At 37.7% G+C, this 19,169-nt stretch overlaps 1 protein-coding gene across 2 annotated transcripts, besides 1 other annotated feature; it reads right to left on the bottom strand.

Moving 5' to 3' along the window:
* SAMD9 (sterile alpha motif domain containing 9) lies at positions 211-18,672 on the bottom strand. Of its 2 annotated transcripts, NM_017654.4 has the most exons (3): positions 18,556-18,672; positions 15,488-15,588; positions 211-6,798 (listed from the first exon to the last, which is right to left on the bottom strand). In NM_017654.4, the coding sequence occupies exon 3, from the start codon at positions 6,788-6,790 to the stop codon at positions 2,021-2,023; it is 4,770 nt and encodes a 1,589-aa protein (NP_060124.2). In that variant the 5' UTR covers positions 6,791-6,798; positions 15,488-15,588; positions 18,556-18,672; the 3' UTR covers positions 211-2,020. The 2 variants fall into 2 exon arrangements, with proteins under 2 accessions (NP_060124.2, NP_001180236.1); NM_001193307.2 differs by lacking the exon at positions 15,488-15,588.
* Positions 8,663-9,862: an enhancer, noted in NCBI's record as "P300/CBP strongly-dependent group 1 enhancer chr7:92737283-92738482 (GRCh37/hg19 assembly coordinates)". NCBI's record gives its function as "activates an origin of replication core promoter dependent on BRD2, BRD4, P300/CBP, MED14 and CDK7 cofactors, with strong dependence on P300/CBP, by STARR-seq in HCT116 cells {active_cell/tissue: HCT116}" and the evidence as "EXISTENCE:reporter gene assay evidence [ECO:0000049][PMID:35650434]".

Below are 19,169 nucleotides of genomic sequence, written 5' to 3' on the forward strand. Positions count from 1 at the left end.
TTAGGAGGAATAAATTTTGGAAATCTATTGTACAACACAATGATTATAGTTAATAATTATTGTACACTTGAAAATTTTTAAGAGAGTTGATTTTAAATGTTCTCATCACACACACAAGCAGGCTTGAGAGGTGATGGATATATTAATTACCTTCATTTAGTCATTTCACAGTATATATCTATATCAAAACATCAGGCTGAACGCCATAAATAATATACAATTTTTATTTGTCAATTAGAAAGTAACAATAAAGAGTGAGCTTATAAGTTATGGAGTTAAAATTTTATGCAGAAGCAAGGGAAAATCTTCCTCCAGTGAAAAAATTCTAATGAGATTTTGAAGACAGAAACAAATCACATTTTTTTTGTTTTTGTTTTCTAAATGTTTTACAAGAGAAAATTTCAAAAGCATAATCAGTAAGAGGGAGAAAAGTGTGCTGAATTCCATGTATCCAGCTTGCAGCCATTGTTAACTCAGGACTAATCTTGTTTCGGTTCTACTTCCCTTTCACCACCCCCACACCCCAAACACAAAATTACTGATTCTAGATCATGTCATTTATTTACAAATACTTTAGTATGTATCTCTAAAAGGCATGAACTCTTTAAAAAACATAACCATGGAATCTTCAATAATATAGTACCTTAATATCCTCAAATATCTAGTCTGTGTTCAAATTTTTCTGATTGCCTAATAATTGATTTTAGATTTTGCTCAAATTAGGATCTAAAGTCTATATGTTGCCCTTTAGTTGTTAAGTCCCTTATAATGTATAGATTCCCCAACATTTTTTTGGTCCTTTGCAATTTCTTTCTTTTTTGGTTGAAGAAACCAAAAAAGAAAACCAGGTTTTTGTCCTGTGAATTTCCCCTTTCTGGATATTGCTGATTGCATATTTGTGGTGGTGTTAGTAGGATTTTTTTAAAATTTCTTTTGAATTGCAAATAAGATCCAGAGACCTGATCAAATTCAGGTTTAATTATTTGGCAAGACCATGTCACGGGTGATGTGTGCACTCCTATAGTACTTCCAGGCCCATAATGTCTGGTCTTCCTCTGTGATGTTAATATTTATCAGGATTTGGGACAGTTTGATAAATCCATTAGAAATTTTTGTTTTTTAATCAGCTTTCCACTTAATGGTTTTGGCAGCCATTGATGACTGCCCATATCCATAATTTTATTAGGGGAAAATTACATTTTGATTACGTATCGCTGGTTGTTTTTGTTCAAAACATAGGTTGTATGTTAATCTGCCAGTACATTGGCATCTTCTGGATGAGGGACTCATTAGTCTTCTCACAAGAGTCCCTTTTGTTCATTAGCTTGTGGAATTTGAGTGTCTGTATGTTTTTTTTTTAATTGTTTGTTTGGAGGGGAGTTGATAAGCTAATTAGCTATAGAGACAAATTTCATTTTTGCTTAACTGAATCTCACTGCATGAAAAGGCAATCTAATTCTCCAACCTACTTTGGTAAGGTCTGATGACTTCTGTGGGCATGACCTTCAGAAGACTGGTTGGTCCTCTGTTTTGGAAGATCCTTGAGTGCCAAGCACATGATACATTGATGATCTGCTTAGTAAGAATAAATGTTGCTCCTCAGTTTGAGAGGTTTTTGCTGTCTTTGAGAAATATTTTCCCAGACATTCTAATGTCTAAATGCCATTTGAGTAGACAATCTTCTTCAATCCATGCCTGGTAAGTAGTGGGGTTCTGTGTAGCCAGCTTATTACACTAACTTCTCCTGACTCCAGTCATAGCTCCTTATTATTTTGTCATCAATGATGTTAACCAAACCAAGGAACATATTTGCTACTTTTCATATATCTCACTCCTTCCTTTTTCACTATTGTCTTTGTAGAACTCATAACATGTTTAAGAGGAAATTAAATACTGCATGTACAGATCTGAAGAGCTAGAGGCTGTATCTATAACCTTGCCGGTTTAAAGCATAGATCTTGAGTCCAAAAAAATTAAATGGGTACTGAGATCAAATTCTTGGAGGAAGAATATCAGGCTCTTAAACAATTTCAATGTCATAAGCAAGTGGGCCTCCAATGGAAAATCCCAGGTAAAAAGACACCTTCTCTATGCTTCTGCCACTTCTAAGTTGACCTAAAAAAGCGGGAGTGATGGGTATTGTGATTTTTTCATTGATTCCATATTCTATATATAAACAATTGTTTTCAGCTCGACCTTGTAAACGAAGCAAAAGTTCTTGGACTTTTTCCTCCTTCCACACATCTCCACTCTGCCACAAGGAATTAATATCTGGTGTCTTCTTAAAGCACTGGTCAATTTTTCCTTTGTGAACAAGTCTTTCCAGTCTTTTACCTTTTCCAAGAAAGAAATATGCAATTGGTTGCTTTGTACGATGCATATGTTTATATTGCCCCTTGAAAGAATTTTTTAGTGCTTGAGCATACTCTTTCATTTGTTCAGAATGTTGATCTAGTTGTTGATTTTCTGGCCAGAATAAGAGGGAAGCTAGAAAATACGGTTCTGAAAACTGATAAGTCAGTCCTATTGGTTGCAAGACTTCTCGAAGCTGATCTTTTAGTTTTTCAACTGGCTTTACTAATCTGGAGGTAGGTTGGATACAGGAGAGAATAATGTTGGCCAAGATGAAATTTAGCTTTTCTTTTGACTGGATTTTGACAGTGCATTGTTCTAAGAGAAAAGTATATTCGTTCACTATACATTTCATAGTGCTTATAGCATCCTCTTGACTTTTGATAAGATATTCCAAGAGCCCAGAAAACTTGTCTGCTTTTAAAGCTACTAGGTTTCTCCTGCATCTCTCTACTTGAAGTGGCTCACTGAACTTTGATCCAAGACCTGTGTTGTTTTGTGATTCTTCTAAGAGACAAAATATATCTACATATTTCTTAAAATATCCAGCCACCTTTCTCCGAGTTTTGGCCTCTTCATTTTGCTTAATATTGTTCCTGGGTTTTAGCAGGACAAAGTATTCATCAAAAAAATCAAAGGACTTTTTCAAAGAAAATTTCAATTTAGTTAAATAAGGAATATAGTTTTTGAGGGCTAATTTATATTCATTGTTTGGATCCCCTGGAATATCACTACTTCCTGATACAAAATTGACCATATATCTTTTAGATAGCTCATTTTTATTATCAAAAAAAGGAATGAGCTGGAGAATTTGGATTGTGTAAAGCCCAACTTCTATCTCTCCTTGATAACCAGCTATATTGTAAGTATCATACCGCCTTTTTGACTTCGGATACAATCTTTCCTTCACTTCATACTCTCTATCTTCACTTTGCTGTTGAGATTCTTTGAATGCACTTGAGGCATGTTCTGCTAAATCCAAAAGAGCAATTAGATCATCAACTGAAATGTTCCCGTTTCCTCCGTTTTCCTCTATCCACCATCTTATTTTACTTTTGTAGACTTGACCCAGTGTATCTGAGATATAAGAATTGTCAGGTTCTATGATTTTTGCTTGTTTTGCCCAGTTTAGAGCATTGCCAAAGTCCTTCTTTTTAATGTAGAAATGTCTTGCCAACGCTTGGCAAATGAATGCATTTGGGTTGAACCGATGGATACTTTCAAGCAATACAGCTTCAACTGCTTCATTTCCTTCATCTTTATGTAATGCTTCAATAAATGGGGAAAACCAATTTCCTGTTTCACCTTCATGTTCATCGCGGTGTCTTGTGAGTAGGAGTGTGTGCATATCTTGCAAAAATTTACTTTTTCCCATACCAGTATCGAAGAACAAATTCTCAGTTAGCATATCCAACATAATTTGACTTTTATTCAGGTGATAGCTTTTCTTCAATTCTTCCAGTGAGAACTCTGCAATCAAAGAGTGAATGATGCGTACTCCACAGTAGTTCCCACATTCGATGACCTCTGTTTTTATCAGAATTGTAGAGTAGGTGCCCATCTTGTCTTCAAATTTTTCTGTCCCCCAGAAAGCCTTCTTGTTTCCAATTCCTAAGAATTTTTCACACTGTGATAGTGAAATGGTGGTATCAGGCACATATGAATTAAGAAGAGCCAGAAAAGAAAAGAGCTTTGCTTCCTTGGTGAAAATATTCTGCCCTTTCAGGATATTCCGGACCACATTTTCTATGTATTCTTTATTAAAATTGGTTTTCATGATCATAAAGGAATAAAAATCCTCAAAGTTTTTATGCTGTTCTTTGATTTCTTTCAATTTAAGCTCAAAAGCTCTCTGTTCTTTGGGAGAGAGTTGCTGTATTACGGCAATACTGTCTGGGATCCTTGCACTTTTTTCAGGATTTTGTGATCTCATACAATTTAGGATAATCACCAGAGGTTTTTCATATCGAATGTACTTTTTAGCTATAGCTGTTTGAATAGAGTACTGCAGAAGATAGACATTATCTTGTTCTTCAAAATCATCAACAAGGAGTAGTACAGGTACGTATTCCTGACGGTTCATTGCCCCATAGGTGATTAAACTGGTTACCTGTTCTCCAATTTCAGAAAAATCCACTGTCTTGTTTTTCAGCACAGCACATCTGAATTTCTTCCTTAGTTCCCAGAGAATGTGCATAGCCAAGGTAGTTCCCCCACAGCCTGGATGATGATACAGATGAATAATTTTGGTACTTGTTGGTTTAGAAGAATCTGCACAGTTTTGAATCATTGCTTCAAGTCTTTCATATTTATCCCTTTTGACAAAAGGTGAAGAATAACTTTCAGAAGAGAAGTAGAAGTTCCACCATGACACTTTGCCACCTCGATAGAAGTCTTCCTCTTTTGATGCCTTGAATTCAAGGAATTTATTTTTGTCCTTCTCTAACAGTGTACCCTCACATTCATTTTCACAGATAATTTCCAGAGCAGTCATGATATCTTCTTCCTTTTTCAGAAGGACAGTCGATAAACCAATAGATGGCAAAAGCCTTTTTGAAGATTGAGTCACAGATTTTAGTTTAAGAATAGTGCCATTGATCTCTTCAAGGCTTAAAGCAGAAATACATTGGCTTGAAATTTCATCTTGGTGTTTTATTAATCTTGCTTCAAGTAGATCTTTCCATCCCTGAAATATGTGTGGGTGCACACAAATACACAGTATATTTTCCATTCCTTTGAGATCCTGGTAGAAAGCACAGAAAGTCTCAATGAGGGGATCTCTTGGGTCATCCACAGAGGACAGTAATAGAAATACCACCAAAAACTTCCCTCTTGGCATTATGTCTTCATGTGTAAGAAATGAAATCAGTTTCCTGACATCAGAAGCTCTTTCTCTTTGCCAGGAACTTGGATCAAAGGGTTTATATTTTTCACTGTCAAGGTCTAACCTGCCATTGCAGAAAATCCAGCTGGGTTGATGGTAAAGATTTAGAGTAGAAATCGTCTCATTTGGTGTGGTTTTCTGTTCTACATATACACTTGGAAAGTGAAGGTTTGCTACTCGGCTTTCTTTGTAAGCTTTGACCACTCCATTGATGTTAGACTCAGGATCAAACTCCAATACAGCAAACCATTTAATTTCCTTCAGGAAATCTAAGTGTTTTGTTTGATCTGGGTGGCATTTATTTGTTACAAGAATGTACTGTTCATAGTATGAATTATCTAACAAATCTTGATTTCCTGTCAATAATTTAACCAACTTTGGTCCCTCTCTTTCTTTTTTATTTGTTTTTGCTCTGAATTTTTCTTCTGCTGCTTTTCTGGACTCTGCCAGTGTTTTAAAATCTGCTTTAAATGCTCTGAAATCAACTTTATTTTTCGTAATGTCCTTAGAGCTGGTCCCATCTCGCACAAATAGTGAGAATTTTTTACTTTGTTCCCATATTTTGTTGTTGTAATTTTGCATTTTAATCTGGAAATAATCATATTGGCATTCAGAGAACTGTGGAATAATGTCCACTTCAATAACAAATCTGTCAGATAGAGTACTATTTGGCAGTAAAACTTCCACAAATCTTGGCTCTCGAATGCACTTCTTTGCTTGTTGGACTTGATGGTCTTCAAAATACTTGTTTATCATCAGATTGAAATGGTTAATGAGGGCTTCCTTGGTATCATTGGTGACTTTGATGCCAACAATTTTCCCATGGGGTTTGTCTTTGACTCCAAAATGAATAGTGCCATTGGTACGTGAATTCATACAAGCTGAAGCAAATCGGAAAACCTCATTGCTAAATTTCATCTTGACATCCTCTTCTGTGGCTGTTGCTGTATTTGTGAAGGCTTTGAATTCATGTATCGGATCAATGAGATTGCCTGGTCCTGTTTCAGGCTGTAGACTAAAATCCAACTTGTAACGATATGGATTACTGAATTCATCAAATGGATATGATACACATGTCAGGTCTATGGATGGTTGCCTTTCCTTTGTATAATCTATTTTATCTTCTATGAGCTCAACTTTTAGTGACTTAGAACCTTTAGCAGTTGTACTCATTGCAGACGGATTAGCCATATCTGGGTTCTCTTTACCCTTTTGTTTTTGCTTTGAAGTTTCTCTACGTTCCTTTTGAGACACAGTTTGGTCTTTAGGAGCATTTTTACTGGGCTTTCCCATCTTAGATGTCTGAATCGAATCTTCAATGGCTGTTTTCCGCAATTCTTTGAATAGTTCTTCTATTTGAATAGCTGGTCCATGTGTGATGCCCATATCAACAAGATGTTCTTTTTTTAACCACTTCAAGACTGCTCCATTCACGTCTTGTTCAGTCAAAATTTCCCTGTGTTTTTGGTCAATCTTATGACTTTCTAACCACTGATTTACATCCTCTTTTGTCCAATCATCTGTATTTTCTGGAAGGTTAAGTTGCTTTGCCATTCTGATACCTATATGTAGAAAAAGAAAAATTATTTAGTATTATTAAAAGTAAAATTTTGAAACAATTTTAGTAGATAATATATACATAATTTTCAAAATTTAAAAAGCTCAAAAGGATATGCCAATGAATTATCTCTTGAGAGAATGTGACTATTGCCAGTTTCTTCTGCATCCCTCCAGAGAAAGAATACCAAATACAAACACATGAACACACTTTTCCCACATAAATTGTGGCATACTATACATAATTCTCTTGCTTCATTCACTAAGTAAATTTTGGGAATGCTTCCAGTCAGTATATATAGAGATAGTTTATCCTTATTAATGATTGTTTGCTATAATGTGTGTTTGCTGTATTATTTAAGAACGTTCAATTCTGCTATAGAAAATAAGAGAAAAAAGAAGGATATTTGAAACTAAGTACAGAAGCAAGTTTGTGAGATACATCATGATAGACATAGATAAAGTAAATAGAGCATATGAGTATTAAGCATAGTTAGAAAGGGATATAAGAACCAAATAGTAAATATTCATGAGACACACATGAAGCATTTGCTGTTTTTCAGGTCTAAATTTGGTTACCTATTTGGTGACACCCATTCTAATCATTTGTGTTCTCCATTGAAGAAACATCAGTAAAATCCATAGTAGCTTATCAGGCTAATGACCTGTATCTGTGGCCAGGCATACTCATCCCTCTGCATTTCTCTGATTACAGCAAGTGTATGTCATTGACCCAGGACCTCTTCCATCTGCCAAGACCCTTTAAACAGACCTCAACTCTGTTTCTCAAAATTGTACAATCAGTGGAGAATGCTGAAACATCAGAGAGGAAGAGAGAAGATATATTAACTTGCACAACTCAGGTAATGAGATCCTTCTACCCTTCTTGTTCCTTACCCAAGATGTGTTGACCACCTCTTTGTTGTGTTGTTGGGTATTTTAATTTTTTTTTTTTTTGAGATGGAGTTTTGCTCTTGTTGCCCAGGGTGGAGTGCAATGGCGCGATCTCGGCTCATTGCAACCTCTGCCTCCTGGGTTCAAGTGATCCTCCTGCCTCAGCCTCCCAAAGTGCTGGGATTACAGGCGTGAGTCACCATGCCTGGCCTTGTTGTGTTATTTTAATTGATTTTTAAAAATATGCCCTTCAAGCATCTTAATTTTGTCTGTGAGCTGTTCTGTTCCATGTCATCTGGAATAGCTTGCTGAGTAGTGAACTTGTTGGCTACTGTTGTATTAAACTAATTTTTCACATAATAATTAATAAGAGCTGATTCCTGAGCAATAACTTGTGGCATAATTATTTAGTTTGCAAATTTGCAGACTACTATCTGAAAAATTAATGTCAATCTAGGCTACAGAAATATAGCAATGGTTAGAAAAAATGAAATTCAAATAATAATAGTCAGCTTTAAGTATGATCCAAAATTGTGAGACATTTTAATGAACTAAACTTTCATTTATCATGGGAGACATCAAATTAAATAATGGAGACAGCCTGGGGAATGGTGGCAGATAAATTATTATATAGGCCCAAGTTCATGAAATAATACACAGAAATATTGTTTTCTAGTGGCAGATACAAACTCAGGATTAGAATTTACCTTTCTTTCAAGACATGAAGATGCCAGAGCCATGGTCCAAGGTTTAAGCTATTATTTTTTTCATATGTAACTACGGTATACATAGAAAGTGAATAAGCAACATACCTTACAGCTATATCAATTCAAAATAGGCAAAGATAGGCAATATCTTAGTTGCGATTTTGTACTATAATTTTATAAGATTTTACTATTGGGGAAGCTAGGTAAAGAGTACACAGAATATCAAATTATTTCTTACAACTACATATGAATCTACAATAATCTTAAATAAAATTTTACTCAAAAAATAAAAAACTGCAATGGTATCCATATTTAGAACTGAGCAGTAATAAAAATGCTGCATATAAAGAGTTGTAAGGAACAATGTCTACAATACTTGGAGAAATATGTATAGCCTTGGATGTATTTATAAAAATGGAAGAATGGGTGTGGCCCGCCGTGCCTTGCCGTGCCTCGCCATGCGCCTGTGTGGCTAAGGCTTCTGCTGTGTGTGCGCGCAGGTGTGACTTGTGTCCGCAAAGTTTGTGATGTCCGGGGGACTGCATGTACCTTCAGCCGTCCTCCCTTCACACGCATGTGGACACAGTGTCACCTCCTCAAGCCATAGGGTGCCGAGTCTAAAGCACAGGGCCGGGTTCCAAGATGGCTGAATAGGAACAGCTCCAGTCTACAGATCCCAGTGTGAGAGACACAGAAGACAGGTGATTTCTGCATTTCCAACTGAGGTACTGAGTTCATCTCACTGGGGCTTGTTGGACAGTGGGTGCAGTCCAAGTAGTGTGAGCCAAAGCAGGGCAGGGCATCGCATCCCACAGGAAGCTCAAGGGGTCGGAGAATTCCCTTTCCTAGCCAAGGGAAGCCATGACTGACGGTACTTGGAAAATTGGGACACTCCCACCCTAATACTGTGCTGTTCCAATGGTCTTAGCAAACAGCACACCAGAAGATTATATTCTGCGCCTGGCTCAGAGGGTCCCACACCCACGGAGCCTCACTCACTGCTAGCACAGCAGTCTGAGATTGAACTGCAAGGCGGCAGCAAGCCTGGGGGAGGGGCGTCCACCATTGCTGAGGCTTGAGTAGGTAAACAAAGTGGCCAGGAAGCTTGAACTGGGTGGAGCCCACAGCAGCTCAAGGAGGCCTGCCTGCCTCTGTAGACTCCACCTGTGGGGCAGGGCATAGCTGAACAACAGGCAGAAGAAACTTCTGCAGACTTAAACATCCCTGTCTGACAGCTTTGAAAGGAGCAGTGGTTCTCCCAGCATGGAGTTTGAGATCTGAGAATGGACAGGCTGCCTCCTCAAGTGGGTCCCTGACCCCTGAGTAGCCTAACTGGGAGACACATCCCAGTAGGGGCCGACCGACACCTCATACAGCCAGGTGCCCATCTGAGATGAAGCTTCCAGAGGAAGGATCACACAGCAAAATGTGATGTTCTGCAATATTTGCTGTTCTGCAACCTCTGCCGCTGATACCCAGTCAAACAGGGTCTGGAGTGGACCTCCAGCAAACTCCAACAGACCTGCAGCTGAGGGTCCTGACTGTTAGAAGGAAAAGTAACAAACAGAAGGGACATCCACACCAAAACCCCATCTGTACGTCACCATCATCAAAGACCAAAGGTAGATAAAACCACAAAGATGGGAAGAAACCAGAGCAGAAAAGCTGAAAATTCTGAAAATCAGAGCACCTCTTCTCCTCCAAAGGAATGCAACTCCTCGCCAGCAACGGAACAAAGCTGGACAGAGAATGACTTCTATGAGATGAGAGAAGAAGTCTTCAAACGACTGGTAATAACAAACTTCTCTGAGCTAAAGGAGGATGTTTGAACCCATTGCAAAGATGTTAAAACCTTGACAAAAGATTAGATGAATGGCTAACTAGAATAAACAGCATAGAGAAGACCTTAAATGACCTGATGGAGCTGAAAACCATGGCACAAGAACTACGTGACGCATGCACAAGCTTCAGTAGCTGATTCTATCAAGTGGAAGAAAGGGTATCAGTGATTGATGATCAAATTAATGAAATGAAGCCAGAAGAGAAGTTTAGAGAAAAAGAAGTAAAAAGAAACAAACAAAGCCTCCAAGAAATAAGGGACTATATGAAAAGACCAAATCTACGTTTGATTTGTGTACCTGAAAGTGACGGGGAGAATGGAACCAAGTTGGAAAACACTCTTCAGGATATTATCCAGGAGAACTTCCCCAACCTAGCAAGGGAGGCCAACATTCAAATTCAGAAAATACAGAGAATGCCACAAAGATACTCCTCGGGGAGAGCAACTCCAAGACACATAATTGTCAGATTCACCAAAGTTGAAATGAAGGAAAAAATATTAAGGGCAGCCAGAAAGAAAGGTCCGGTTACCCACAAAGGGGAGCCCATCAGATTAACAGCAGATCTCTTGGCAGAAACTCTACAAACCAGAAGAGAGTGGGGGCCAATATTAAACATTCTTAAAGAAAAGAATTTTCAACCCAGAATTTCATATCCAGCCAAACTAAGCTTCATAAGTGAAGGAGAAATAAAATCCTTTACAGACAAGCAAATGCCGAGAAATTTTGTTACCACCAGGCCTGCCTTACAAGAGCTCCTGAAGGAAGCACTAAACATGGAAAGGAAAATCCGGTACCAGCCACTGCAAAAACATGCCAAATTGTAAACACCATCGATGCTAGGAAGAAACTGCATCAAATAACGAGCAAAAGAACCAGCTAACATCATAATGACAGGATCAAATTCACACATAACAATATTAACCTTAAATGTAAATGGGCTAAATGCTCCAATTAAAAGACACAGACTGGCAAATTGGTTAGAGTCAAGATCCATCAGTGTGCTGTATTCAGGAGACCCATCTCATGTGCAGAGACACACACAGGCTCAAAATAAAGGGATGGAGGAAGATCTACCAAGCAAATGGAAAACGAAAAAAGGCAAGGGTTGCAATTGTAGTCTCTGATAAAACAGACTTTAAACCAACAAGGATCAAAAGAGACAAAGAAGGCCATTACATAATGCTAAAGGGATCAATTCAACAAGAAGAGCTAACTCTCCTAAATATATATGCACCCAATACAGGAGCACCCAGATTCATAAAGCAAGTCCTTAGAGACCTACAAAGAGACTTAGACTCCCACACAATAATAATGGGAGACTTTAACACCCCACTGTCAACATTAGACAGATCCACGAGACAGAAAGTTAACAACGATATCCAGGAATTGAACTCAGCTCTGCACCAAGTGGACCTAATAGACATCTACAGAACTCTCCATCCCAAATCAACAGAATATACATTCTTCTCAGCACCACATCGCACTTATTTCAAAATTGACCACATAGTTGGAAGTAAAGCACTCCTCAGCAAATGTAAAAGAACAGAAATTATAACAAACTGTCTCTCAGACCACAGTGCAATCAAACTAGAACTCAGGATTAAGAAACTCACTCAAAACCGCTCAACTACATGGAAACTGAACAACCTGCTCCTGAATGACTACTGGGTACATAACGAAATGAAGGCAGAAATAAAGATGTTCTTTGAAACCAACAAGAACAAAGACACAACATACCAGAATCTCTGGGACACATTTAAAGCAGTGTGTCGAGGGAAATTTATACCACTAAATGCCCACAGGAGATAGCAGGAAAGATCTAAAATTGACACCCTAACATCACAATTAAAAGAACTAGAGAAGCAAGAGCAAACACATTCAAAAGCTAGCAGAAGGCAAGAAATAACTAAGATCAGAGCAGAACTGAAGGAGATAGAGACACAAAAAACCCTTCAAAAAAATCAATGAATCCAGGAGCTGGTTTTTTGAAAAGATCAACAAAATGGATAGACTGCTAGCAAGACTGATAAAGAAGAAAAGAGAGAAGAATCAAATAGATGCAATAAAAAATGATAAAGGGGATATTACCACCAATGCCACAGAAATACAAACTACCATCAGAGAATACTATAAACACCTCTATGCAAATAAACTTGAAAATCTAGAAGAAATGGATAAATTCCTCGACACATACACCCTCCCAAGACTAAATCAGGAAGAAGTTGAATCCCTGAATAGACCAATAACAGGTTCTGAAATTGAGGCAACAATTAATAGCCTACCAACCAAAAAAAGTCCAGGACCAGATGGATTCACAGCCAAATTCTACCAGAGGTACAAAGAGGAGCTGGTACCATTCCTTCTGAAACTATTCCAATCAATAGAAAAAAGAGGGAACCCTCCCTAACTCATTTTATGAGGCCAACATCATCCTGATACCAAAGCCTGGCAGAGACACAACAAAAAAGAATTTTAGACCAATATCCCTGATGAACATCGATGCAAAAATCCCAATAAAATATTGGCAAACCGAATCCAGCAGCACATCAAAAAGCTTATCCTCCATGATCAAGTGGGCTTCATCACTGGGATGCAAGGCTGGTTCAACATACACAAATCAATAAACGTAATCCATCATATAAACAGAACCAAAGACAAAAACCACATCATTATCTCAATAGATGCAGAAAATGCCTTTGACAAAATTCCACAGCCTTTCATGCTAAAAACTCTCAATAAACTAGGTATTGATGGGACATATCTCAAAATAATAAGAGCTATTTATGACGAACCCACAGCCAATATCATACTGAATGGGCAAAAACTGGAAGCATTCCCTTTGAAAACTGGCACAAGACAGGGATGCCCTTTCTCACCACTCCTATTCAACATAGTGTTGGAAGTTCTGGCCAGGGCAATTAGGCAGGATAAAGAAATAAAGAGTATTCAGTTAGGAAAAGAGGAAGTCAAATTGTCCCTGTTTGCAGATGACATGATTGTATGTTTAGAAAACCCCATCGTCTCAGCCCAAAATCTTAAGCTGATAAGTAGCTTCAGCAAAGTCTCAGGATTCAAAATCAATGTGCAAAAATCACAAGCATTCCTATACAACAATAACAGACAAACAGAGAGCCAAATGATGAGTGAACTCCCATTCACAATTGCTTCAAAGAGAATAAAATACCTAGGAATCCAACTTACAAGGGATGTGAAAGACCTCTTCAAGGAGAACTACAAACTACTGCTCAATGAGATAAAAGAGGACACAAACAAATGAGAGAACATTTCATGCTCATGGATAGGAAGAATCAATATCATGAAAATGGCCATACTGCTCAAGGTAATTTATAGATTCAATGCCATCCCCATCAAGCTACCAATGACTTTCTTCACAGAATTGGAAAAAACTACTTTAAAGTTCATATGGAACCAAAAAAGAGCCCGCGTTGCCAAGTCAATCCCAAGCCAAAAGAACAAAGCTGGAGGCATCATGCTACCTGATTTCAAACTATACTACAAGGCTACAGTAACCAAAACAGCATGGTACTGGTACCAAAACAGAGATATAGACCAATGGAACAGAACAGAGTCCTCAGAAATAATACCACACATCTACAACCATCTGATCTTTGACAAACCTGACAAAAACAAGCAATGGGGAAAGGATTCCCTATTTGATAAATGGTGCTGGGAAAACTGGCTAGCCATATATAGAAAGCTGAAACTGGATCCCTTCCTTACACCTCATACAAAAATTAATTCAAGATGGATTAAAGACTTAAACGTTAGAGCTAAAACCATAAAAACCCTAGAAGGAAACCTAGGCAATACCATTCAGGACATAGGCATGGGCAAGGACTTCATGACTAAAACACCAAAAGCAATGGCAACAAAACCAAAATTGACAAATGGGATCTAGTTAAACTAAAGCACTTCTGCACAGCAAAAGAAACTATCATCAGAGTGAACAGGCAACCTACAGAATGGGAGAAAATTTTTACAATCTACCCATCTGACAAAGGGCTAATATCCGGAATCTATGAAGAACTTAAATTTACAAAAAGAAATCAAGCAACCCCATCAAAAAGTGGGCAAAAGATGAACAGACACTTCTCAAAAGAAGACATTTATGCAGCCAACAGACACATGAAAAAATGTTCATCATCACTGGCCACCAGAGAAATGCAACTCAAAACCACAATGAGATACCATCTCACACCAGTTAGAATGGGGGATCATTAAAAAGTCAGGAAACAACAGGTGCTGGAGAGGATGTGGAAAAATAGGGACACTTTTACACTGTTGGTGGGACTGTAAACTAGTTCAACCATTGTGGAAGACAATGTGGCAATTCCTCAAGGATCTAGAACTAGAAATACCATTTGACCCAGCCATCCCATTACTGGGTATATACCCAAAGGATTATAAATCATGCTGCTATAAAGACACATGCACACGTATGTTTATTGCGGCACTATTCACAATAGCAAAGACTTGGAACCAACCCAAATGTCCATCATTGATAGACTGGATTAAGAAAATGTGGCACATATACACCATGGAATACTATGCAGCCTTAAAAAAGGATGAGTTCATGTCCTTTGTAGGGACATGGATGAAGCTGGAAACCATCATTCTGAGCAAAGTGTTGCCAAGGACAGAAAGTCAAACACCACATGTTCTCACTCACAGGTGGGAACTGAACAATGAGAACACTGGGACACAGGTTGGGGAACATCACACACTGGGGCCTGTTGTGGGGTGGGGGAGGGGGGAGGGATAGCATTAGGAGATATACCTAATGTAAATGACAAGTTAATGGGTGCAGCACACCAACATGGCACATGTATACATATGTAACAAAGCTGCACGTTGTGCACATGTACCCTAGAACTTAAAGTATAGTTTTTTAAAAAAGGAGGAATGACTGAAAATCATGAACCTAATGCCAGTTTAATAAATTGAAAGAAGAATAACAGAATAAAACTGAAATAAGAAGAATGAGAAAAATAAAGATAAGAGCAGGAATTTATAAAGTGGAAAACAAAATGACAAGAGAGACTCAGTGAAGTCCAAGAGCTGTTTAGATAAAAAGTAATAAAATTGACACATCCATGGAATGATTAACCAAAAAATAAAAAAGAAAGGTGGCACAAATAAGCAATATTAGAAACTTTAAAAATGAACCAACTTTAACTGAATAAATTGAAAACTGAGATTAATTGAGCAAATTCTTAAAAAATATAGCTTACCAAACTGACTCTAGAAGAAACCGAAGAAGTCTCACTTCCAGGGTGATGTAGGAGATCACAAAAGGCCACCTATTCACCCACTGCAACCATGAGATCAAAATCTGAAAAATTGCAAAACTCATATTTTTAAGTAATCACAAAGTCATCAATAGACCAGATGACAAGGACTGGATGAACTAAAATTCCAGAGAGGAAAGATCCCTGTCTATGTAAGCTTTGGGGGCATTTGTTGATTTGGGGTTGGGTTTAAGGATTAGACTTGGCCTACCGGGAGGAGGAAAACCAGTGGGGATTTTCATAGTCACAGGGGCGGGTCTAATGAAGTGCAATTAGAAGTGTTCCAAAATGTTTACCGTAATGGAAATGCAAAGTAAAATTACAACAAGATAATACTACATGCCTACCAGAATGGCTAAAATTAAAGACTGTTAATGCCAAATGTTGGTGATGATGTGGAGTCAGTGGAGCTCTCATATGCTGTCTGTGGGAATGTACATTGTTTTAGCCACTTCAAGAAACTATCAGTTTTTGTGAAGTTAAATATATACCTACTCTTTGGATCTGCAATTCTCATGAAAATTATTAAAGTACTGATACAGGCAACAACATGAATGAATATCACATCATACTGTGTGAAAGAAGCCAGTTACAACAGAAAACATATTGTAGAATTCTACTTATATAGTTTAAGAATAGGCAAAAGTAATCTGTCATAGAAGTCAGACTGATGTTGGGGGGTGGATATTTTCTGGGAAGGGGTGATGGAAATATTTTATATCTTGATATGGCTAGCGGTTGCACAGATAAGTACATATTAAAATTTCATAAAGGCTTACCCTTAAGTTTGTTCATTGTATACAAGTTATACTGTATTTAAAAAGCCAATAATGCCTCCAAAATACATTAGAAAATAAAACGGATGAATAAAATAAAAGAGATACTTGCATAAAAAAGATGATGGTGTGTTATGAATCAAGGATAATTGTGAATTCAATGGTATGTGAGGTCCTAAAGTTTTACTAGGTGTTTATTATTGCAGTCTCAGATTATGAACTTTTGACTTCTGCATCCCACTCAGTGTTGATTCAATACTGGTTTTAGAGTTGTCTAAAAACTGACTACACCCTCGTCTAGTAACCATTCTATCTGAGTCACTTTCTTGTATCCATTTACTGAGTCACGTCTACTCCACCCTATGAAAGTATGCTCACTTTTGTTGCACCCACACTATTTAACACATAAAGCAGGGGTCCCCGATTATTGTGCTGCTAGCGTGCGCTGGCTCCTGAGGCCTCATACCTATGGCTCTCATCCCCCATCTCGCCGCTTCCCACCAGTACCCTTTTCCTAGGGTCTCCCTGACTTCCTTCATCAACTTGGACCTTTCACAGTTTTACAGACACAGTCCTTAGTCTCTGGTGATATGTCATAAACTAGATTATGAGACTGGTGAATTAGATGGATTATTTGATTCATGCAAGAACTACATACCATTATATGTGAAAACGTAAAGTCAGGTTCTCATATAAGAGTGTGGGGGATGGAGAACTGGGCCTGAACATTTGGTTGGGAAAGTAAGCAAATAATAAAGAAGTGACTTTTGACTGTTTTCTCTACTAGAGACACTATGAATATTTCAAATGTCATTGAACAGGTTACACTTTCACACTTCTTCCCCTAAAGCTTTTGTCAGATTATTGATAGCTGTGCCTTTCAATACATTATTTTAAAAAAATTGTTGATGATGTCACTCTTGGAGAAAATATATGCCAGCATTCATAGGTATTTATGCCACTGTTCATAGATATTTTACATATTAATGATTTCTTTATACCCTCTCGTTCCAAAATGTTTTTTAGGTAATTTAGAAAGTAATATAGGATCACACATATATTAAAACCCTTAGGTAAAGAAATCATGGGGAAGGCTAAATAAGGGTAGGGGGAGAAAAGGTGAAATGAGGGAGTAAAATTAGTACCTAAAATTACTGGTTTTGATTCCGTATACTTTAAAAACTGACCTGAAAATTTGGTTCTGAGCATCTTAGTAGGAAACACTATTTGTTACTGATTGAACCCACATACATTTTTTAACTCTGGTTGGTGTTAAACTGTAGGGTTTGTTAACTTTTCTAGAAGGGAGTTGAAGGTCAGACCTTTATTCAGAAATGTGATCCTCCAACCGTCTTGCATTATCTTACTGTTTGCTTTGGGGAGAAATTAGACATAAACCTAGTATTTTTGCCAGGAACATAAAGCTGCCTTAATTCCAAAGACTTCCCATAGTAGTCTATCTGTCTGTCTGTCTTCCTATGTATGTCATCCGACAACAATATCTGAGAAGCTCTCAGAGAGTTTTGTTTTCTGGAAGCTACCTATTTCTTAGAGTAGATGGTGGAAGTTGTATTTGATTAAAGTAAAGTACTTTTAAGTTTTCATTGCCTGTTCTTTATCTATCTTTCCGTTTGTTGTTGTTGTTGTTGTTGTTGTTGTTGTTGTTTTTGAGACAGTGTCTCACTCTGTTGCCTATGCTGGAGTGCAGTGGTACAATTACAGCTCACTGTAACCTTAAATTCCTGGGCTCAAGCAATCCTTCTGCCTCAGCCTCCAAAGTAGCTAGACTGCAGCTGCGTGCCACCACATCCAGCTATTTTTTTTTTTGGTAGGAATCTTGCTAGGTAGGGTCTTGCTATGTTGCCCAAGCTAATTTTGAATTCCTGGCCTCAAACAATTCTCCTGTCCTTGCCTTCCAAAGTGCTCAAATTACAGGCTACCACACCTGGCCTGTTTGTTCTTTCTGAAGATGCTGTATGCCTTGGGAGAGTTCATCAATAAAAGTGTCTGTAGTTTTCAACTGCATCTTTAATGAAATGTTATGACTAATTTTTCAACTAATATAAAGCAGACTGCTGTCAGAGCAACAAATAGTCTAGAATTTCTAGGCTTAGAATACTATTTTTTGTTTTGAGGTATATTTGAAGCTTCTAATTGAAAAGTATATTTCTTTCTATTCAATAAAATGCTGCTATAGATAGTAAGAACAATATTAATAATAGATATTGTACTTACCCAGTAGTCTTGCAAATTTCTTTTACATATATGTGGGGAAAACCATCTCTTTTAGTGCTGAAAATATCTGATGTGTTTGTTTTCTTCCTCCTACGATGCTAGAGAAAAGTATTTTCCTCATTCTGGTTTTAACGGAAGTCTATGTATTCTCTGCTTCTGTCTCACAGCAAGCTCTAATTGGCTCAGAAACAGCAGGGCGTGTTTAACAACTGGGAGGTTGGGGAAGGAAGAATATAGGTTTGGTTTCAGTTTCATTTCTCAGATCTGAAATTACAGCACCGCCTTTTCTATCTGAAATGCTTTTTAATAAGCTATGGCTATATACCACCTTCTGGTCTGCTTGGTTAAAATCTGAAGGCTTAACAATTTTTCCTCACTTGAGAGTTTTGAGGGCTGCAGAAAGCCCCATTGTCTTGTTATAGACAAACTGTGGGATATTCTGGCTTAATTGATCCCTTGGGAATATGAGTTTACATTGCAGTCCCAGCCTTGTAGAGCACCAGGTTGGAGATACTCTAGGTCAATATTTCACTGGCCTTTAAGGGTGGAGTTACTGTCCATTCCTGTTTTCCTAAAGTGTAAAGAATGTCTTTCAGGGATAGGACTTCTTTGAG

Source organism: Homo sapiens, chromosome 7, assembly GCF_000001405.40.
Source record: "Homo sapiens chromosome 7, GRCh38.p14 Primary Assembly".
In the NCBI taxonomy this organism is placed as follows: Eukaryota; Metazoa; Chordata; class Mammalia; order Primates; family Hominidae; genus Homo; species Homo sapiens.

What these genes read in the sequence shown, in the direction of transcription:
- SAMD9 (NM_001193307.2), bottom strand. Translation starts at nt 6,790, where the DNA reads ATGGCAAAGCAACTTAACCTTCCAGAAAATACAGATGATTGGACAAAA.